Consider the following 24,407-nt stretch of genomic DNA (forward strand, 5'->3'; position numbering starts at 1 on the left):
GAGTGAGAGGAGACAGAGGTAGGGAGGGATGGAGGGGGAGAGAGGGAGAGAGAAGGAGGGAGGGAGAAACAGGGAAGGACGGGTGGAGGGAGGGATGACATGGGACTCATCATGTACCCATTATTAGACCAGGCAAGAATTATTAATGGATGCTAAATATGGGGATTGTTTCACTAAGGAGAAGAATATTTGCGTGGTTTTCTTATTACAGACTTACTTTCAAAGGGGGCTGGGGGGAGGAGTAATTATATATTGGAGAAAGGGGACAATGCCTTGACCAGATAATCAAAATCAACATCACCAATGAGGGACAGATAGGCTTATATTATCTCTCTAGGTGGATACTCTAAAGGCACGACATCTCTGCAGCATTCCAGCCAAAAATACATGATGTAAGTCTAATCAAAATGAGGAATGTTTTACTTTTTTTAATGTTGAAAGATTGTATTCTTCAAAAATGTTAATATTATAAAAGAAAGGCTGTGCTAACTTTCCAGATTACATGAGGCCCAAGAGACATGAAAACGAAGTTAACCTTCTGCCCCCAACTGCATCCAGTATTGGAAGAGAAAGTACATTATTAGATCAACTGACAGAATTGGAATATGGACATTAAATAAAAGGATTGTATCAATGTAAAATTATAAGGTTGATTCTGTACTTACGTAAGGCAATATGTCTATGCTTAGAAAATATATACTGGCATATTTAGGGATAAAGGACCATGATGATGTATATAACTTGTAAACGTTTTGGGGAGAATGTGTGTGTGTGTGTTTGTGTGTGTGTGTGTGTGTGTCTGTGTGTGTGTGTGTGTGTGTGTGTGTGTAGTGCGTATGTGTGGGTGTGGGTGTATCTAGTATACAGGGATAGGGAAGGGGCAAATGATAAAGCAAATGAGATAAATAAAACCTTCCCAAACGTAGATCTGGGTGAGGTTATGTAGCTGTTTTTGGTACCATTTTAATTTTTGCAACTTACTTGTAAGTTGGTAGCTGTTTCCAAATAAAAAGTTTACAAAAAGGAAGGAATAAATTTGTCATATTTTTCTGTTTAAATCATAAACCTTTAACTTCTAGAAAAGAAGCTTTTTTTTAACTTTTATTCAGTAATTATACTTCTTCTAGAAATTTGTATTGGAATAATCAGTGATAGTCACAAACACACACTATATACATGAATATATGAATAGTCATCACTGTCTTATCACAATAAAAAATTTAAACAACCTAAATATTAAGCAAAAGCAGAATTGTTAAATAAACATATTCATATGTCTGATATTTTTTAACATTTACATAATATATACCAAACATAGATTCACCCACAGCATAAGAATATGGTTATCACTGGGTGATAATGAGTGGTTTCAGTTCTCTTTACCATGTATTTTAAATATACTGTAAGTTATCTCTGATTCACCCACAACATAAGATGGTTATCACTGGGCATTAATGAGTGGTTTCAGTTCTCTTTACCATATGTTTTAAATATAAGTTATCTGTAGTGGTAAATATTTATTTCATAATTGGGTACAAAGAAATAATAAGGAATACTTAGAAGATAAGTTTAAGTTTACTTTTCTGAAATTTACTAATTAACCATCTCCCAGGTAAAATTTGACTTGATAATTTAGTCAGAGTGTCTCATGAAATAATTTTAGAGAGTGATTAGTACAAAACTTATTTGAAAGAAAAAAAAAATGCCTAAATAAAAAAATGCACTCAGCATTTATTTTATTTCCGGGGAGGATAATTGCTCTTCCATATTCAGGTATACTTGTACACATGGATCGTGTTAACTCTAGCGTCTGCTAATTGAGTACTTTCTCATGAGCAGTTTTTGCTAATTTTATAGGGAAGTTTTCCTTTGCTAACTTTTATTTCATTCTCCTTAGTCATACTCTAAATCATCTTTCACTCTTAATGTTTAACTTTCAAAAACACACACGTTTTATGTGTTTTTGATTGAGGATGATTTGAGTAGTAGTATTCGTTATTGGTGGGAATGTTTCTTTCTTGAAGATTGAAAAGATATATTGAAGGTTAACTGAACTGTACTTGGAAAGAAAAATGGCTCTGATTATTACATATGATTGGACTTAAGATGTCAGTGGTATTTGTTTATGTTGTACTTTAAACTTCACATTAGACATGAAGGAGAGGTGTTCTCTGCTCATTGGTTTCTCCAGAGATTTCAGCTACTTTACTGAACTGATGTGAACAATGCAGAATTACTTAACCTGGAAAAGAAAAGACTATAGAATAGAATGATTTCTAAAATGGTTTCCAAACATACAGAATCATTCAAGAGAGCATGACGGTCCCTTCCTCACCTCTATGAGACATAAACTGAGAGCATTTGAATTCAAATTTTAGTGTTAGGGATTTGGATTAAGAAGAAAATTCAGAAAATGAGTTAGCAGAAGTGGTTGTGTATTTAAAAAATAAGTAAATAAATACATACATACATCCTACGCTGGTATAACCAGCATGGATTTAAAGTGACCTGACGGAAAATGACGGTTTTTGGTCCATCTTAGGCCCTTCTAGTTCTGCAGTTCAGTAATTCCCTTACCCTTAATCCCTCTGGACTGTAATTGATTAATTAGTAACTTAAAGGGCACACAGAAACAATTCAGTAGCCTAATCATTAGGAACCGGGAGCATTTAGATAAGGACCTTTAAGGAACTCATGCCATTAGAATCTTAGAATCCACCTGACTAAGATGGACGTGTGTCAGGGATCCCCTTAAATCATGAGCTACCTAAATGCAGACACCGGCACTATTGACTCCTTTGCTTCAACAGCTTTTCCGCAAGTAAAATGTCATAGAAAGTATTATAGATATTAAACTTCACTCGGATAAAAGGAAGTAGGGGTGGGCATCCACTCATTTTTGACACTCAGCATATGCCAGCCTGCGTTCTTTTTACATTTCTCCTGTTTTTGTCTGTCCGCATGGTAAGCTCCTTCACAGCAGGGTCCACATCTCACACCAGAGTGTTCTTATGTGGTAGATGCTCAATACACGGATGCTAGTGATAAATAGTTTTCTTGACCATTAAGCCACCTGGTTGATTAATTAGTATTTTCAGTTTTTACCAGTATGTGAGCTTTGCTAGATTTTTTTATACCCAACTCTAGAATTAGCAGTAGGTATCTGACCTAGATTGTTTTAGTAAACCATTTCAAAAATTAAGTGTATGTCTTAAGATAAAACTACAGATAGTTTCTTTTGTGAGAAACTGTAATATTCTCACAAAAATAAAAGTACAGACTGGTTACTGAGACTTCAGATTGGAAAGTCAGGAGAGATTTTCAATCTTCGTTTCTTCCCACTAAATGTACTAAAATAGAAACTGTTGTTGTTTTTAACTAAAATCAGAGCAGACTGGAATTACGGAAAAGAATATTATGAATGGTTCTATATATATATATATATATATATATATATATATATATATATATATGTAGACAGAACTTAACATTTATGTTTTTTTGTTATTTTTAAAGTCCTTGCTGAGAGCTTTTAGGAGGGAGTACTCTCTAATGAATAATACTAATAAAAATAATAACAATAATAGATCCTTACTATGCCAGACCTATTCTAAGACTTTTGCATTTAGTTCTCACAAAAAATCCTAATATTACTATTCAGTTTTTACTTATCTTTCTTTCCTTTTATTATCTTATCCTGTATCTATATGCAAGTAGTTTGTTGGTCAGCATTGAACAAACTATTTTTGGTCCCCAAAACACTTTGCTCACCCAAGAGTCTTCTTTTAGTCACAGACCACTCTGAACTACTGAATCTAGTTTCATCGTCATGTTATAGTTAGGGCTGAAGAATTCCTATGTAGTCTACTCACTAAGGGGTGTCCTACCTCTCCTTCCAAATTGCTGCCTTCACTGCAATTTCTGGTTAGGTTTTCAGCAGCTTCCTCTGATCAGCCTCCTTTTTCCTGCTCCCACCAAGAAGAACTCTTCCCATTCCAGACACAGCCTTGTGTTTTACTGACTGCAAGAAAAAAGAGAAAGAGAATATGAAGGAGGCCAGTCTAAATCGGAGCCCTTATCTCTCCTGTAAATGATGCCTTTGAGTAGTCAGTTTTTAAATATTGTTCCCAAACTGTTGTTTCTGGGTTATTGGTGACTCAGTACATCTCACCCTTACTCCTTCTAGCTCAGTGGGTTACATCATCTTCTATGATTAATTTGGACTGGATTCAGCAAAATTTTTCTTTCATTTAGCAAACTTTTATTGAACACACGCTGTGTGACAGCACCAATGCTCTGTGAGGTGAAAAAGATATTAGTGCTACCTCGGGCCTTAGTTTCCCTGCTTATGACACATGGCTCTCTAATAAGGGATGAATGGAGCTTAATTGACAGTATTCGAAGTAGAAATAACATTCAGTTTTCTAGATTGTAGGGTTTATACACATTTATTTACAGTTAAGTAGGTGAACCTCAAATTGTTCAGGCACCTATTAAGAAACTGAGTCTATATAGAATATTGGTCACGATTAACAGCCTTTGAGGCTTCCACATTCGGCAAGGCTTTAATATTGTGCCTACTAGAAGGGTGATTTGTTTTTCTTCTTGTCCTTCCCAGGCATACCCAGAGTATCTTATCACTTACCAGATCATGAAGCCAGAAGCCCCTTCCCAGACCGCAACAGCCGCAGAGCAGAAGACCTAGTGAATGCCTGCTGGTGAAGGCCAGATCAGATTTCAACCTGGGACTGGATTACAGAGGATTGTTTCTAATAACAACATCAATATTCTAGAAGTCCCTGACAGCCTAGAAATAAGCTGTTTGTCTTCTATAAAGCATTGCTATAGTGATGAATAGTATGAGTAACTGATACATACTCAACTGCTACTGTTCCCTTTGAGGAAATGTTTACAGGGGCGGCCTTTTAACATATCTCAGGCTCATTTTCATTGCAATTATCCATTTCTAAAACAAGATTGCTTCGATCTAGACTTGGAAATGGAAAATAAGAAAACCAATGCTTTTTCAAATGTTCACAATTCACACACTACATTTGTTTTGTTATGCATGACGTGTCTATAACAAATATACACATACGACAGGCAACAAGCTTGTTTTTGATTTGCCAGACATGCATCATTGGCTATTGTTTGTTTGTTTTTTGTTTTTTTGTGTTTTTTGGGTTACTTTGAAAATGAGCCAGAGCCTTCTTGAGGATATTTTGCACAAAGTCACGCTGACAAAATCATTAGCAGTGCAACCCAAGCTTCTGGCTGAGCAAGATTCAGTTTCCACTTTTTAAAATTTTTTTATTTTGCTCTGTAGCTGCACTTCTCGTTATCATAAATTGAGATGAAAAGGAAAAAACATCAAGTTTTAGTACCTTTTTATGAATTGGCCTATCTTACAAGAGAAGGGCACAAACACCAACCTGACTTAGGAACGCCTAAATTCAGAGAAGTCAAAGCCGGTGAAGGCCACTTGCTCTTTCCAACACAAGCCTGCCACAGAGGTCTTCGGGACAGTACTGGAGATGCAGGTTGACACGGGCTTGAGTTCCAAGGTGAAAAAACTGGGGAGGCTGTGAAGGAAGAGCTGCATTAAGGAGGGTGAGGAGCGTGTGGTTCTGTATCATGGCAGCCCCAATGGATCCAGGGGATGCCTCCAAAAAATACATGCTTCCCTTCCCTTAATCTGTACTGTTGGGATTGTTACCCCTCCAAATTAGCTGCCTTATTTCAAAAGTCAGTGAAATTACTGCACTTGATGAGGGTCACAAAAATACCACTTGATTGTTTCTTTAGTTGAGAATGCTGGGATTCAGACTCGAATAGTGGATAGATACACACAAATGCAAGGACTTTTTTGTTTACTCCAGATTTGGGGTTTATTTTGAGTGGCATGCTTCAAATAGTTCATAAAGATCCTTGCATTAAATTTCTGAACCATTTCTTCAAACTTCTTAGTGTGTTTAGACAAGGAGAACAAAAATTGAAACCAAAGCCCTTTCTGTTATTTTTTCAATGAAGGTGAGAAAGAAATACCATACAATTTTCTTTGTGAAATTACTGTTTATTTTCATCAACATTTACCAAGTGCCATTGACATTTATAAAAAAAAATGATCCTTTATAGTTCTTACACTTGCCCTTTTCACCTTAACTGAATATGAATTGAGTGCACTAACTTATTTACTTGATATACTGTGCATCTACTCTGCTTTGAAGCGAAAGAAATATAAACACGAGGAGGAATAGGAAAGACAGTGTGACACAAACTTGCCATTGCAATTCAAAGCCCTGAAAACGATGGGTTTAATGCAAGGTGATTAAGCTGTGACCTCCTTTAATCTCCTGAAGCAAAATAAAATGGTTACATGCAAAACTTCTAGAAATAGACTCTTAAAATATATACATTTTGCTTTGATTTTGGCTTCAACCCAGTGCTGGAACTAGGCATCCAGACTAGTTTGAATGTTTGTAGCTGAATTTTTATGGGTCCTCAAAATTAAATCGAGAATTAGCCTCAGTTGTTGCTTCTTTTGAAGTTTCAGTGACCCAAGCTGGGTGTTTGTGTCTTGGCTACTTGTTTAATAGCACTAGAATTCCAGGTGAAGCTTTGAGAGTTGATATTCATTAAGAGGGCTTTTTTTCCCCTTCTTTCCTTCTCTTTTGCTGTAACAAAGGGTTGAAGAAATTGCCATCTGTGTAGTTTTCAGTAGCTGTCAAGTGTGTCTTACTTACCTTCCCCCAGACGTAGTTTAAAATGGTAAACACAGCTGTGATTTTTAGTTAAGTAAAAGAGTTAATATGATATAGATATGGAAAGCTTTATGGCTTCATTAAAAAGATAAACCACTACCTAACTGTGGTTGTATGTTGTTTCCATCATACTAACTAGATGAATGGATGCGCCAGTTTTCATCTTGGTCCTTACACTTGAGAAGTTAAACTGTGGTTCAGTATTTAAACTGCCAGTGTTATACGTCTCATGCTCTGTGTGCCAGGTGAAGGTACTGTGTAAGGAAGACATTTGCGGTGCTTCTTGTCCTATAATGATTCAAGTATATAGTAGTTCTTGAAAGAGTGTGCATATATTACTCATCTGCTTAAGAGAGTGGGTTAATGGATATATCAGAGGAGCCAAATACATTTTTTTCAGAACTTGAAAACCAAAGGTCATCATGAGTGCACTCAAAAGTTAGGACAAGTTTATTACATTTGGGATTTTCATCTGTAGCCGTATGAAGAACCCTTTCCAATATAAAAGCATGGCATTAAATTAGGCTGAAGTCTTTTATTTTTTGTATATGTACTATATAGAAATACTAGCAAGTTAGGATCATCCAATATGGCCTACCCCGAAATGGCCCCTCTGTTTCCCTAACCACATGGAAGAAAGAATCTGAACGTCTCCACCGGCTCTACCCGAGTTCCAAAACTAAAGGGCTTCTCCAGACCTGATGGTTCCAGTTTACCTGCTGTTGGCCTGCTGGATACTTGACTCAGGCATAAATTAAGTGCCCTGGTCCCGAACTTTCTCCCTGTATTTGACCTCCTTCCCTCTTTCCTAAATTACTAGTCTGGAATTAAAATTAGCTCCAGCAATGACCTTTGACTCCATTCATTTTCTCCTCATCTTGGGTCTTAAAAAAGGAGACCAGATACCTCCTAGCTTTTGTATCACAACCAGGAATGGGTATTAGGCCTCATGCGCTTTGCTCAGAACACTGCCGCTTTGTTAACAAATGACAGCATGGAACCCAGAGTTTTGATTCGATGCAAAATAACAGCAGTGCAACCAGGATTCTTGTTTTCCTTTTCCTTCTTGGAGTTTGGAATTTCTAGCTTTTCAAGCAGCATAAGTAGAATCAACATTAGGATGTTTTCATGAAATAGCATCCTTATACTTCTTTGAGCTTGATGTTAGTGGCTAGACTGATTTCCCTTTGCTCTCAAAATACAAAGTGCATTGAAGTATACAGAGAAATGCCTGAATATGGCAAGCAAATAATGTAGATTAACATTCTATTATTGTATCCGTTTTACAAAAAATAAAATTTTGATATATGCCGGAGAACGGCATTAGAATGCAATAAGTTGTCTAGGTTTTTCTGTTTCAGTGTCTCTCCCAATGGCACGAAGGGTTATTGGGCATTGTCCCCACCCCCGCCTTTTTAACATGTGCACTATCTGGATTCCTGTAAATGGCCTTGCAAACAGAAGTGGTGTGTATTTTCAAGCACCTTTCCCCCATTGTATCCGAATCCCTCTTGTGTGATATCTGTGACAAATAGCCTTCTTCTTGTGTTTTCTGTTGGACTAATTGTCTCACGTAAAGCTATAGACCTTACTAATTTGGCAGGTATTCAAAACTGCCATTAAGATAGGATTTCATGTCAGATACGTATTTAAAGAGTAAAGTCAAATTTGTTTAATGTCAGATCAGTGACAGAAGTGAAAAGAAAGTAATTGTGAAAGTGATGTTTGAGCTATTGTACACATCTAGCATATGGAAAGCAAATGCACTCGAAAACTACTATTCTAGAACATGAGGCTTCTTCAGCAACTTGTGCACTCTGCCATTAATAAATTAAATTTTTCCCCTCTAGAAAGCCTTAACTATGGCGGAAACTTTTTAACCTTTTATATTTTAATAAATAAAACATTGTAGTCCCATTTCTTAGTGTTTGAAAGGTGTGTCAGTGAGTCGGCCATGTCTCCATGTGTTTCAGACCTGTTCATCTTATTTTATGATGGTATATTTCATAAGTAATATTCCCTTACATGCAATGGAGCTGATTAAAATTAATCCATTTCAATTTCTCCATATTGGAACTTCCTCAGCTACCAGATTTCTGGTTTGGAGAAGTGCTGGAAAGATTTCAAAGCCTATTCAGTTGTGTATGTGGGGATACGACAGCAACTGTGATACCTTGTAGAATATGAGTGATATGCAAGCTGTGTTTTTTAATTGTTTTAAAATGTAAATTATGGTTATGCTAAAGTGAAAACCTAGAGGAAGCTAATGATTTTATATACTTTGCACGACCAAATATGGTCGTAGTATGACGAGTTTTATACATTGCCAGAGAGTTCTGCCTCCTCTGAAATAACATTCGCACTGTAGATTGCATTTCGGCTTTTCCTCCTTTCACATTCTTTTTTGCTTTACACTTCACGTCTTCGCACCTGCCCTACCTCCCATCCTTTCAAAGAGGTTTCTTTCACGTTCCAGAATTCAGATTGTTCTGTGATTTCTTTTACATCAGTCTACCCATTTCTGCAGGCAGCCCTGAAAGCCCTTGTGTTGATTCAGAGTGTTTGCAGAGAAATGCAGTTGAACCCTGGTAGTGGGGTGTCCCTCACACACCCGCGCACCCCTCCCAAAGTTCAGGATGAAAGGCTAGAAAACCCATTCAAAGTTAGGAAAGAACACAGATCTTTGAGGCCGATAGCCTAGACCTAGAAGATGACCTTGAGTATGTAAACATTGTCTCCGTGACACAAAACACTGAAACTCTTCATGTGCATATAACACCTGCTTCTGCTCCCATTGTTTCAAGCTCATCTTATCTTTGTAGTAGTAATGTTTGTCTTTGATACCTACAAACTAAAAAGGTACTTTTATCAAGGTTTCTCAAAACATTTACAAAACCAGCTTTGAGAAAATGTTATGTTGCCTGGCAACAGCACTCGGAGTAGTAATTGTGTTTTCTCATTGTGATGTTGGTCTGTGTGAGCAACCAGTGTAGTGACTCTTTGGTTCATTATTCGTGTTGTTTTTATTTTTAGTCTCTGTGTGACCCAACAGTGGCAGGGGTTACAACCCCCTCTCCTTTCTTTTTTGTATTTATCTATTTGTAGGATTGTCAGATCAAGTACAAGATGCCCAGTTAAGTTTGAATTTCAGAGAAACAATTTCACGTTAAGAATGTTTCATGCAATATTTGGCATATATTTACAGTAAAAGCATTCATTATTTGTCTGAAATTCAAATTTAACTGAGCATGCTGGTTTTTCTCATTGTTTGGTTTTTCTAAATCTGGCAATCCTACAGCTGTGGTCATGGGAAATCACCTACAGCATGTTAAAGTCCTCTAGTCATCATCTCGTCACCTGAAATGGAAGTCCTTTTTCCCTCACCCTCCACTTCTTTCCAAAGGAGGGCATCAAGGAACTTAACCTGCCTGCCTGGTGGGTTTCTATTTAAGACATCTTTGTGATTATATTTAACCTGCAATTGTGCTTTGGCTTAATGTCTAGCTCACTGTACTTGTAAATGATTAATATTCAATAAAACCATTTTTAAAGTACACTTGTGTGGATAGCAGTTAGCTCTTAAGTATTTTCATTTTGCCCTGCTTGTTCATTTCTGCCTGACCAACCTTAACACAACTGACTTGAAAAACTGTCAGAATACAAATACCAACCCTCCCTCTCCATCTTCCAGTGAGACCTGGGTTTTAAGTGACTTATCCTCACGTCTCAGCCCACATGGCAGTTACTGAATAACTTCTGCAATAGCACGGGCAACATGGGTTCCTTTCAGAAATATCTCTTAAACAAACAGGCTGACACTTTAGAGCCAGACCTCCTACCAGGTCCAAAGGCAGCCCAGGGGCCTTGCACAACATGATTGCTCACAGACTCACCTTCTCCACCTCTCGGGGGAGACGGAGGGGAAGAACGCCTGCTTCATGCAACAGTCAGTATTAAATACTTAGCACAGTGCCTGGCGCAGAGGACTAAGAAAATCCTTCCATTCTTCCCCTCTTCTTTCTCCATGCCTAGGGGTCCGTTACATAGCAAATTTGAACCTAGAATTTTATCTGTACAGTAACTTTTTTGCCAGAGGGCTTGTCAGAGCAACAAACAGACATAATTAAATGGAAGTATTCTAGTAACCCTGCAAATAACAATAGCCATCATTGAGCCCCTACGTGAACCAAGTACTTTGTATACATACATTTTCATTAGTAACCCCAAAAACTTTGCAAAACTGGCCTTTTAATTCTGTTTCACAGATGAGGAACTGAAACTGGAAGTGGTTAAATTAGTTATGTTATATCCCAGAATACCTTCCACTATAAGACTAAGTACCAGAAGGCCAGGCGCAGTGGCTCACGCCTATAATCCCAGCACTTTGGGAGGCCAAGGCAGGCGGATCACGAGGTCAGGAGATCGAGACCATCCTGGCTAACACGGTGAAACCCCGTCTCTACAAAAAATACAAAAAATTAGCCGGGTGTGGTGGTGGGCGCCTGTAGTCCCAGCTACTCGGGAGGCTGAGGCAGGAGAATGGTGTGAACCCGGGAGGCAGAGCTTGCAGTGAGCCGAGATCGCACCACTGCACTCCAGCCTGGGCAAGAGAGTGAGACTCCATCTCAAAAAAAAAAAAAATTAAGTACCATTTGCTATGTACCAATCACCAATCACAGATGGAGTTTCAGTGTTTAAGCAGGAATAAAAACACAGACTTGACTCTACCACATGATTTTATGTCAGTATCTCACACAACAATCAGATTCTAAATGCCATTAGACTCAGGTGTTCCCTTTTGGTTATAGAAAAGGAAATTATAGAGGGGACAACTTAGTGAATAAGGGGTTATAGAAAGGGTTATAGAAATAGAAATCTGAATTGTGCACAAAAAGCAAGTGGAATATAAAACAGTAACTTAAAATTTCAAAAGCCTGGGTTAGTTTATGACATGGATGTATTCCAAGGGCCTGTTTTTGTAGCATCAACCACTGTGGGTTGGGGATTGGGGGAAGTGGGATGGAGCAGCTGTAAATCACTTGCTGGATTGGGTTTATTTTCTGAAGGAAATTACTTGCTGGAAAACTAGATCCTATTAATCAAAGGGATGGGTGCTTCTTGGTAGCCAGTTTTGAAGAAGTATTTTTGGATTACGTTGTCTACATTGAGTGTCTGGATGCTGTGACCTAGTTTCTCACATTAGAGGTAGCGTGTCCTATTTATAGCACCTGTCAACCTTTATCATTTGGCTAGGTTCACTTTTCTTCATTATCGTATAAGACTGTACAATAGACCTCCAAGCTGAAAGAGCACCTGACACTATACTGGAAATAATGAAAGTTGGGTCATCCATTCCCATTAAGTTGGAACGTAAGTGTCAGGTCTTCTGGTTTGCATTAGCTCTGAACACTTGGATATATAAAAAACAGTGGAAAAGGGGATGGTGTGTACGTCTTCATTTCTACCAACTACCATCTACCATACAGTGCTAATAAAACAACTTTGCATCGGACAATATGAAAGATGTTAATTTTGTTAATATGATTCTTGGCATACTGTTCCCGCCCAAGGACCCATTTATAAAATAAGTCTATTCACCTGTACTTTCATAACTCTGCCTGCAAATCAGTGGTATGTAACACAAAGTAAAAGTATAAGGTAACCGTGGTTATGAGTCATTGGGAGTATGTAGAGGCTGAAGTCAGGAAACCAGTGCTTGCCCTACAGTACAGAATTGCTTCATAACTCCAAGGCAATTCTATGAAGGCCATGTCTCTACCTTTCATCTGTCAAGTAGGAATACTCACCAGCAGCACATCCAGACGATGCTGGCTGCCATACAGTTATTTAATTTAGGACTACTTAAAAGATGTACAAGGTGATACAAATCGAACGCTTTTGGGGTCTGAGGAGAAGATGGAAGTAGAACAATGAGAATTTTAGGTGTCTAGTCTGTTAGGGTGACTGTTACCAAAACACCTGGGTTTTGATCTAGGCCCTGCTGCTTGCCGCACAGAAAGCCAATGACTGAGATGATGAGTATTGCCAAGGAAGAAGGCTTTAATAGGGTGCTGTAGTCAAGGAGATGGGAGTTCAGTCTCAAATCCATCTCCCTAACTAAAACTAGGGGTTTATATAGCAGGGAAGTAATGCGTAAAAAAACAGGAACGAGGGAGAGGCAAGGAAGCAATCATGATGATTGAGGTGTTGGGCATCTCACTGTCTGGATGTGCTGATCTGGTGAGTTTCAGTTCTATGATACGTTTTGAGAGGCCTGAGGGTTCCTTTCCTGAGGAAAGAACTAAGATAAAACAAATATAAGTTTTAAGCTTTAAGAGAAGAAGGGTCCATTTCTATGTTTATCCAAAAACAACTGTGTATGGGGCTGTTGGGTCAATTTCATAACTAGTTAGCTGAAAGGCTGTAGGATTAAAACCTCCAGCCCTGCAATCAGAAGGCCCAAGTTCATAGCTTGGTTTTACCACTTACTAGCCATGTGACCTTGAGAAGTTCCTTATTCTTCTTGGGCCTCACTTTCCTCATCATTAAAAATGAGTATACTACTACTACTACTACTACTACTACTACTACTACTACTACTACTACTACTATTTCATAGAGTTGCTTTGAGAATTAAATGAGTTAACTTGCATAGTATGTTCTTTTTTTTTTTTTTTAATCTGAAAACTGTCTTTCCATTCTGTCCCCTAAGAAAAAGTACTTGATTGGCTAGAATGGGAGATTAGAAGAAAGCATATCCATGACTGACTCAGACCCCTTAAAGAATCTGCCGGCCAGGCGCGGTGGCTCACGCCTGTAATCCCAGCACTTTGGGAGGCCAAGGCAGGCAGATCACAAGGTCAGGAGATAGAGACCATCCTGGCTAACATGGTGAAACCCCGTCTGTACTAAAAAAAATACAAAAAATTAGCCGGGTATGGTGGTGTGCACCTGTAGTCCCAACTACTCAGGAGGCTGAGGCAGGAGAATGGCGTGAACCTGGGAGGCAGAGCTTGCAGTAAGCCAAGATCGCACTACTGCACTCCAGCATGGACGACAGAGCGAGACTCTGTCTTAAAAAAAAAAAAAAAAAAAAAAAGTTTCTGCCTAACTGAAGCCCAGAGTGCTGCAGAGTGGAACCAGATGTCCATCTTCATCAGTGTTGATGTTGATGAGCATAGTATAGCAAAGTTCCCCAGAAGTCATCCAAATCCCCAGAAAGAAAAGCCTAAAACTATTACTGTATCAGGGTTAGACTCTAGAAGTCTGCCATAGACTCAAGGCAAATGTTGGTGACGGGTAGGGGAGGAGTTCAGGGGAGGGCCTCCCATTCAGTAAGTGTATCTAGGAGTTCAGGAAGGAAACTATCCAAAGGGTGATCAAAGTAACCACATCTTTGATAATGGAAAGACTTGGCCAGTTGGACATTTTCTAAAACTTGAGCAGGAGGCTTAGAGGAAAAGAAGGAACAAAGAGAGGTTTGAGGTTTTCTCATAGCAGGAGAGCAAAAATCCTGGTTGCCACTCAAGTTGACTTAAGCCTGATTTCATCATCAGCATCTAGTAGCATTTCTTATGGTCACAGCCATGAGTGAGAGAAAGGCAAAGGTTTATCCAACACTTTTTATTAATTTAAATCTCTTCCAAATCTTTTACTCTGATAAATTGCACTTTTATAGTCCTGATTATAGTTGCTTGGCTATCTATGTGCTTTGGACTTGTCTCTGATTAGATGGCTCTTTTTTTCATGGCAGGAACCATGGGATCCCCAACACCACCTGCCACAGTGCCCTGAACATAGAGCACTCATTCTGTTTCCAAGCAGCATTTGAACAGGCTGTCACACTGGCAGCCTGTCCTTTAGTAAACGGACTGTAGCTAGATCTTGTTAAAACACCTTCAAATACCCTAAGCTGACCACATGCTAAAGGATGAGGATAGGAGTGCAAAATAGCTTTTCGTAGACTCTGAGAACTGGAATGGATCTTTAGAGATCACCTGGTCCAGCTCTGTTATTTTTTTAATGAAGAATTTGTAGAAGGCCACATAGCTACAGTGAGGCAGGGCAGACACCAGAATCCAAACTTCTGGCTTTCATTTGGACTTATAAATAGCATTCCCACCCAATGACACTAATTCTTAAAATGACCATCTTTAATTCTTCACACTCTTTCCTCTTTCTTCTAACCTTCTACAAAGAGCTATTAAGTCTTGTAGAAATATTTCAGCCATCAAATCTCTCATTCATCCCTTGAGATCATGCCTGGACTAGCAGTTGCTCACCCCCACTACCAAAATCTTCTGAAAGCACAACTCTGATTAGAGAACTATGTCACGTGGGAAGTTACCTTGATTCAGTGGTAGCCTCCACAGATACTACCAGGCAGACTATCCCAGAGTTCCTAGAGCACAAAAGTCCAAACCAAATGAAAAAGCTCAAATACTTTTTATTACTTATTTTAATAAATCATTTAGTTTATTGAATTAAACCACATACCCAGAAGAAAAGAGTTAGCCTACTTAGAATAGGATACAAGAGACTACACTACCTCAATCTTGAGTTATACAATGTTCATGTTTCCTCCCCCTCCATCACTCCTCTTCCTCCTCTGTCACATCAGCCCTCTTGCAGATAGTACAGTTTCAAGGACCAGAGTGTGTGACTTCATGGTACGTAAGCACCTCCCAAGTAATGGGGAAGGAGGCAATGGATGCAAAGTTAATGCAAAATAATTGAGGTAAGTCTTCTCACTCAGAGAATCCTTCAAGTCCCAGCTCAAATATCTTTCAAGAAAAGCCATTCCTTGCCTACCTGGTGCCATGTGACCACTCAGCCCTTTGAGTCCAATCTGTGCCCAATACGTACCTCATTAAACTACATCACCATCCACGTAATTGTATGTTTCCTCTACCACCACAGTGAGCCACTTGGACCTGAGCCATGTGTCACTGTCATGGTCTTCCTAGTTCCCAGCCAAGTACTCATCTTTAAATTGAACTGAACTATAAAAGAAATATGAAATATGTGTCTCGTACTTTAGATGATGGAGGCATCTGATCTTGGCTGGCAGAAGAATAGAATCAAGAAAATTTTCTCAAAGGAAGAAGAGAATTGCACTGAAGCTTTGGGAATAAAAAGAAGTTAGCCACGCAAAGATAGAGTCTTCCAGGTGAAGGAAAGGCATATACAAAGGAATGGCAGTAAGAAAGAACAAATCATGTTCAAGAAGCTGGAAGGAGTTGGCCGTGGCTGAGCGTTGGGTGAGATGACAGTGGAGAGGTGAAGAGGCCGACAGAGGGGGGCAGGGCCAGAAGCAGAGAGGGTTCCATATGTTCTTCTCGGAGCTTTTAACTCTACCATGTAGGCTGGCACAGTGGCTCACATCTGTAATCCCAACACTTTGGGAGGCCAAGGCAAATGGATTACCTGAGGTCAGGAGGTCAGGACCAGCCTGGCCAACATGGTGAAATCACGTCACTCCTAAAAATACAAAAATTAGCCGAGCATGGTGGCAGGCTCCTATAATCCCAGCTACTCAGGAGGCTGAGGCAGGAGAATCTCTTGAACCCAGGAGGTGGAGATTGTAGTGAGCCAGCACTGTGCCACTGCACTCCAGCCTGGGTGACAAAGTAAGACTCTGTCTCAAAAAAAAAAAAAAAAAAAGAATAGAAAGAAAGAAAGAAAAGAAGATATACAAATGATCAATAAGCACATGAAATACACTCAGTATCACTAGTTGCTAGGGAAATGCAAATAAAACTACCATGAGGTAGCACCTCACACCCATTAAGATGACATCTTTTTTTTTTTTTTTTTTAAGGCAAGGGTATGGAGAAATTAGAACCCTTATGCACTGTTGGTGGGAAAATTAAATAGTGCAGTCACTATGGAAAACAGAATGAAAGTTTCTGAAAAAATTAAACATAGAATTACTATATGATCTAACAGTTCTGCTTCTGGGTATATATATACCCCAAACAATTGAAAGCAGAAGCTTAAACAGATACTTGTACAACAATGTTCCTTGCAGTGTCATTCACAATAGCCGAAAGGTAGACGCAGCCCATGTATACTTATATATACACACAATGGAATGTTTATTCAGCCTTAAAAAGGAATGACATTCTGATACATAATGTGACATAGATGAGCCTGGAGGACATTATGCTAAGTGAAAAAAAGCCAGTCACAAGACAAATACTGTGTGATTCCAGTTGTATGAGATACCTAGAAAGGGCAAATTCAGACTCAAAGTAGGTGGGTGGTTGCCAGGGGCTGGGGAAGGGGGAACGTGGAGTTATTATTTAATGAATATAGGGTTTTAGTTTTGCAAGATGAAAAGAGTTTTAGAGATTGGTTGCACAATTTAAATGTTTTTAAAACTACTGAACAGTATGATTAAAAAAATGGTTCATATGGCAAGATGGTAAATTTTATGTGAATTTTATGACAATTAAAATTTTTGGGCCAGGCACAGTGGCTCACACCTATAATCCCAGCACTATGAAAGGCTGAGGCAGTCTGGGCAACATGGGAAAATCCCATCTCTACATAAAATTTAAAAACTAGCTGGGTGTGATGGTGCACACCTGTGGTCGCAGCTACTCGGGAGGCTGAGGTGGGAGGATCACCTGAGACCAAGAGGTCAAGGCTGTAGTGAGGCATGTTTTTACCACCGCACTCCAGCCTGGGTGACAGAGTGAGACCCTGTCTCAGAAAAAAAAAAATTTTCTTGGCTGGGTGCAGTGGCTCATGCCTATAATCCCAGGCTTTGGGAGGCCAAGGCAGGAGGATTGCCTGAGGTCAGGAGTTTGAGGCTGCAGTGAGCTATGATCATGCCACTGCACTCCAGCCTGGGCAACAGAGCAAGACTCCATCTCTACAAAAAATTTTAAAAAATAGCCAGGCATGGTGGTGCACACTCATCTACTCAGGAGTATGAGACAGGAAGATTGCTGGAGCCCAGCAGTTCACTCAATTGAGAAAGAATAAAAATAAAGGTGTCTATCTCATACAACATGTCTGTCACAGGTGTCTGGGTACTCTGTTCACATGATGTAGTTCACATGTAGGATCCAAGCAGGGAAAGCAGCCACGACTTGGAATATTCTGGTAACTGGCAGAGAGGGAAAAAGTATGACCAAGCACACACATGCTCTTCAAGGTTCTTCCTGGAACCAACACACACCACTTCTGTTTACATTTTATTGGCAAGACAAGTCACATGGCCATGTCTAAGTTCAATGGGGAGGAGAAAGAAGTCTGATTCTCCCACATGGAGGGCTACTGGGTATTGTGAACGGTAACACAATCCACTCTCATTGTTGATAATGCAGCTTTGACAGTTGCCACAGTCACTATTTAAAACTTCAGAAATTAGAAGAGGTGCAATGTGAACATTTGCAACTGAAATTCAAGAACATAAGAAAAAGAAGCTGAACAAGACGAGTGAGCGGAGTATCCATAGAGATGGGGACGACGTGGCCTAGGAAAAGGCAAAAAAAATCCACATCTTGTTCTGGGTGACAGACACACAACATAGGTGTATAAATACATATAATTCACCGAGCTCTACACTTTTTATTTTTATTTTTTGAGATTGAATCTCACTCTCTCACCCAGGCTGGAGTGCAGTGGTGCAATCTCGACTCACTGCAACCTCCACCTCCCAGGTTCAAGTGATTCTCCTGCCTTGGCCTCCCAAGTACCTGGGATTACAGGTGTGTGCCACCACACCCAGCTAATTGCTATATTTTTAGTAGAGATGGGGTTTCACCATGTTGGCCAGGCTGGTCTGGAACTCTTGGCCTCAGTTGATCAGCCCGCCTCAGCCTCCCAAAGTGTTGGGATTACAGGCATGAGCCACTGCGCCTGGCCGAGCTCTACACTTATAATTTGTGTACGTTTAAGTTGTATCTCAAATTTTTAAAAACTAAAGAAAGGGTATGGAACCTGTGAAAGGAAAACAAATCTTGCAACCCCGTAAATCACTAAGCCAAGGGAAAAGTCAAGCTGGGAACTACATCAGGCAAACCTGCCTCCCATTTTTTCCCTAAATAAGATAGCTACAGCAGACACGGTGGCTCATGCCTGTAATCCCAGCACTTTGGGAGGCTAAGGAGGGTGGATCACCTGAAGTTAGGAGTTTAAGATCAGCCTGGCCAGCATGGTGAATCCTCGTACTAAAAACACAAAAATTAGCCAGGCGTAGTGGCAGGTGCCTGTAGTCCGGGCAACTCGGGAGGCTGAAGCAGGAGAATTACTTGAACCTGGGAGGCCGAGTTTGCAGTAAGCCAAGATCATATCACTGCACTCTTGCCTGGACAACAGAGCAAGACTCCATCTCTAAAAAAATAAATAAATAAATAAAAGATAACTACAAAAATTAAAAAAAAAAAAAGGTACATACCTCCTTCACAATTGACTCATAAGGAAATTCCTTGTGGACAAAGGACAGAGAGAACTCAAAGTCATCCCTGAGGCTCATGCATATCTGGTTTCTTCCTCTGCCCTATTGTTTCACTGAGCCAGACCAAGGCATAAGTGACTATTCCTCTACCCTTGTCTCACGTATAAATCACGTATTCAGTGAAAGGCTAATTAGAAACTCAAAAGATTGTCTCTTATCTACCTATGACCTGGAAGTCCCCTCCCCCACCTGTAGTTGTCCCACCTTTCTGGACGTAACCAACGTCCATCTCACACGTATTGATTGTTGTCTCATGTCTCCCTAAAATGTATCAAAGCAAGCTGTTCCTTGACCACCTTCGGCACACGTCATCACGCCTCCTGAGGTTGTGCCATGGGAGAGTCCTTAACCTTGGCAAAATAAACTTTCTAAATTGGTTGAGACCTGGCCAGGTGCGGAGGCTCATGCCTATAATCCCAGCAATTTGGGAGGCCGAGGAGGGAGGATCACCTGAGGCCAGGAGTTTGAGACCAGCCTGGCCAACATGACTGGAACCCTGTCTCTACTAAAAATACAAAAATTAGCCAGGTGTGGTGGCATGTGCCTATAATCCCAGCTACTCAGCAGCCTGAGGCAGGAGAATCACTTGAACCCAGGAGGTAGGGTTGCAGTGAGCCAAGATCACACCACTGCACTCCAGCTTGGATGACAGAATGAGACTCTGTCTTAAATAAATAAATAAATAAATAGGTTGAGATCTGTCTTAGTTATTTTGACTTCACAAACTAAAAAGTTGATTGAAAGCTCTAAATGTGTACATGGGGCATGACAGCTTTGAGCTAGGTGGGCTGTTCAAGGAAAAGGTTCTGCTGTTGATGTATTTTGGCAAGCTACGTTGTAGATATCAATGAATGGATTCCAGAGTTTATATGGAGAGGCAGAAGACCCAGAGAAGAACACAGTTGGAGGACTGGAGGACGGACACTATCTGACTTCAAGACTTACTATAATGTTACAGTAATCAAGACAGTGTGGTACTGGTGAAAGAACAGTGAATCGATGGCTGAGCACAGTAGCTCGCACCTGTAATCCCAACACTTTGGGAGGCCGAGGTGGGAGGATTGCTTGAGCTCAGAAGTTCAAGACCAGCCTGGGCAACATGGCGAAACCCCATCTCTGCCAAAAATACAAAAGGTCAGCCAGGCATCGTGGTGTGTGCTTATGGTTCCAGCTGAAGGAGGCTGAGGCAGGAGGTTTCCCTGAGCTGGGGAGGCAGAGGTTGCAGTGAGCCAAGATCATACCACTGCACTCCAGGCTGGGTGACAGTGAGATTCCATCTCAACAAAAAATAAAAAAAAGGAAAGGAAAGGAAGGGAAGGGAAGGGGAAAGGGAAGGGGAAAGAGAAAGGGAAAGGAAGGGAAGGGAAAAGGAAAAAGAAAAGGGAAAGGAAAAGGGAGGGAAGGGAAAGTAAAGGAAAGGAAAGGGGGGAGGCAGGGAATAGATCAATGGGACAGAATAGAGAGCCCAGAGACAGACCCACATGAATATAATCAACTGATCTTTCACAAAAGAACAAATGCAATACAATGGAGAAAAGAGTTTTTTCAGCAAGTGGACATCCAACATGCAAATAAAAAAAAATGAACCTAGATGCGGACTTTACACACTTCACAAAAATTAACTCAACATGGATGATAGGCTTGAATGTAAAACTCAGAATTGAAACCCTTAGAAGATAACATAGGAGAAAATCTCGATGCCCTGAGTTGGTCAATCACTTTTTTAGATACACCAAAGACATGATCCATCAAAGAAATAATTGATAAGCTAAATTTCATTAAAATTAAAAGCTTCTGCTCTATGAAAGACACTGTCAAGAGAATGAAAAGCCAACTCATAGAGTAGAAGAAAATGTTTGCAAAAGATATAACTGATGAAGCACTGTTAGCCAAAATACACAGAGAAGTTGTAAAATTCCACAATTAGAAAATTAACAACCTCAGTAAAAAATGGGCAAGGAGATACACAGATGGCAAATAAGAATGTGAAAAGATGGCCAACTTCATAAATCATCAGGGAAATGCAAATTGAAACAATGAGATACTACTACACACCTATTCACATGGCCCAAATCCCAAACATTGACAACACCAAATGCTGACAAGAATGTGGAACAACAGGAACTCTCATTCATTTCTTAGTATTTACCCAAATGAGTTGAAAACTTATGTCCACATGAACCTGCACACATAATTGTCAAAACTAGGAAGCCACCAAGACATCCTACGGTAGGAGAATGGATAAACAAACTCTGGTCCATCCAAACAATGAAATTTTATTCAGTGCTAAAAAGAAATGAGCTATGAAGCCATGAAAAGACATAGAGAAACCTTAAGTGCTTAATACTAAGTTAAAGAAGCCAATCTGAAGACTTCTTTTCAGAAGAAAGGTATAGGGGATCAGTCAGTGTGGCCAGAAAAATTGTAAGATGAAGTTATAGGATATAGACACAAACCTTCTTGGAAAGCCAGAAGGTTAGCATAGCTTCAGTAAAAGATTTGGCTGAAGGCAGTCTAATCCTCTTTACCTTTAGTTGATAGCAAAAAAGCAAATAACAAGGAAATGTGGGGAAGTTTATCTAAATAGCTTGTTTACTCATGAGGTCCTAAGACCAACCTTTGATCAACCGCAGGTGCATAACTGCTCTCTACTCAGGGGTCGGCAACCAGGTCAATTACCCACAGATGTGTTGACTCAAAGCCTTTATCATTTAATCTGTACTAAATAAATGTGAACTGCGCTGGCTTATCAGCGGGATGCTCCAGACTCAGAGCAGAGCCCCTTAGCGGGACTGACAGGCAGAATATCTGTGTTAGTGTACATCTCTCATCCATTGCTGGGTTAGGTCTGCGGGTCAGATATCTGCAGAAAGGGGCTCAAGCTACGATAGAGGCAGCTTTCTTTGTCTAAATATTCTTTAAAATAGGGCAGGATAGGCCAAATGTGATGGCTTATGCCTGTAATCCTAGCACTTTGGGAGGCCAAGGTGGAAGGATTGCTTGAGGTCAGGTGTTTGAGGCTGCAGTGAGCCATGATCATGCCCCTGCACTCCAGCCTAGGCAACAGAGCAAGACTCCATCTCTACAAAAAAATTTTAAAAAATAGCCAGGCATGGTGGTGAACACCTGTGGTCCCAGCTACTCAGGAGGACTGCTTGAGCCCAGGAGTTCAAGAGCGTAGTGAGCTATAATCACACCACTGCACAGCCTGGGCAACAGAGCAAGAACCCATCTCTAAAAAAAAAAAAAGAAAGAAAAGAAAAAAGGACAGGATAGCAGATACGCTAAAGAATTGAAAGCAGGGGCTGGGCGCAGTAGCTCACACCTGTAATCCCAGCATTTCGGGAGGCCGAGGCAGGTGGATCACCTGAGGTCAGGAGTTCGAGATCAACCTGGCCAACATGGTGTAACACCGTCTCTACTAAAAATACAAAAATTAGCCTGGCATGGTCATGAGTGCCTATCCCAGCTATTTGGGAGACTGAGACAGGAGAATCACTTGAACCGGGGAGGCAGAGGTTGCAGTGAGCTGAGACCGCGCCAATGCACTCCAGCCTGGGCAACAAGAATGAAACTCCGTCTCAAAAAAGAAAAGAAAAAGAATTGACAGAGGGACTCAAACAGATGTTTGTTTTTAAAAAATGATTGCAAGTGAAGCCAAAAGACAAATGACAAATGACAAACTGACAAAAATGTTACAAATGTTTTGCAATAGATAGGGGACTAATCTCCTTAATATACAAAGAGTTCTTGCAAATCTATGAGAAAAAAGTTAGGTGAAAATTATAAACTTATGAACACACAGTTCATAGAAAAAATAGAAATTGTTCTTGAATATATATAAAATGCTCAGTCTCCTAAGAAAACAAAAGCAATTTAAAACAAGGTAATAATTCGAGCTACACCTACTAGATTGGCAAATACAGGATGTTTATGACAAATGTGTTGGTGTAAAAAATGTTGATGTAAAAAAGTGAAAACCAGTGGATGGGGGAAGAGATTACGTAAATATAGATTCATAAATACCTTCACGTACTGACTTGTATATGCAAAGAATATCTTCTGGAGGAGTCTGGGAAAATCTGGTGACACTAGTAACATTTATGTCCACACAAAAGCCTGCACACAGATATTTATAGAAGCTTTATTCATAATTGCCCAAACTGGGAAGCTCTAAGATTTCCTAGATAAATAAACTCTGGTCCATCCAAACAATGGAATTTTATTCAGTGCTAAAAAGAAATGAGCTACCAAGCCATGAAAAGACATGGAGGAAACTTAAATGCTTATTACTAAGTTAAAGAAGCCAATCTGAAAAGGCTTTTACGAATAAAGCGTCTGTAAACATCCATGTGCAGGTTTTCATGTGGATAAACTAGCTGCCCCAAGGAACATGGTTGAGAGACGTTTTATTATACACAATTCTGTGCCTTTTGAATTTTGAGCTATGTGAATAAATTATTTAAATAACTAAAACTTAAGACTGTATTAGGTGATTTATCACTTGACTTGGAGGGATTTCCACAATATATTGAGGGAAGCAAAACACAGAAAATTATGTATTGTATGGTCCTGTTTTTATGAAGCAAACAATACTGAGTAAAACCCCACATACAACTAAACACACAGGAAATGGTGTATGTGGATTATACTATTACACCCAATGCTACATTATATTGACTATGAGTCTATGAGCATGGAGAAAGAGGGAAGGTCACATAATTGTTAACAATTGTTTGTTTACAGGGTATAAAAGGAGGAAGGAAAGTCAAAAGAAAGTATTCTCTAACAATGTGCCTGACATATTTACAAAATACCATATGTATGTATGCTAATACATATATACTTACATCTACCTATCATCTAACTAAAATATGAAACAGAATCATTGACAAGCCACAAGAAAAGACAGCAATCTTGACTCTCTGTCGGAACATCAAGCATATATACATACACCTGTATGTATGTGTAAAAATAAGAGTGTTACGCATACGTGTCTCTAGTCCCAGGCAACTATTAATCCGTTTTTTGTCTCTATAGATTTGCCTTTTCTAGCAAGTTTACATAAGAAAATCACATATATAAAGATGGTCATGGAAGGCTAAAGGTAGTTGTTTCAGAGATACAGGATTTCCTGGGACTTTGTTTTTCAATTTTTTTTCTGAGGCGGAGTCATA

At 39.7% G+C, this 24,407-nt stretch overlaps 1 protein-coding gene across 3 annotated transcripts in view, besides 1 other annotated feature; it reads left to right on the plus strand.

The window, feature by feature from the left end:
- Positions 1–10,315, plus strand: part of TNKS (tankyrase) — a 226,435-nt gene extending 216,120 nt beyond the window's left edge. The window contains exons 27-28 of one of the 3 annotated variants that reach the window (XM_011543845.4): positions 338–392; positions 498–1,031. In XM_011543845.4, coding sequence (XP_011542147.1) covers positions 338–391 — 54 coding nt within the window. In that variant the 3' untranslated portion in view covers position 392; positions 498–1,031. Of the gene's footprint in view, positions 1–337; positions 393–497; positions 1,032–4,618 lie in introns of those variants that run through there. The other 2 variants (NM_003747.3, XM_011543846.4) reach the window with 2 other exon arrangements.
- Positions 9,926–10,005: an enhancer, noted in NCBI's record as "active region_26988". NCBI's record gives its function as "activates an Ori minimal core promoter by ATAC-STARR-seq in GM12878 lymphoblastoid cells {active_cell/tissue: GM12878}" and the evidence as "EXISTENCE:reporter gene assay evidence [ECO:0000049][PMID:35858748]".
- Positions 10,316–24,407: the final 14,092 nt, after the last annotated feature.

The sequence above is a fragment of the Homo sapiens genome, chromosome 8 (genome assembly GCF_000001405.40).
Source record: "Homo sapiens chromosome 8, GRCh38.p14 Primary Assembly".
Lineage (NCBI taxonomy): Eukaryota > Metazoa > Chordata > Mammalia > Primates > Hominidae > Homo > Homo sapiens.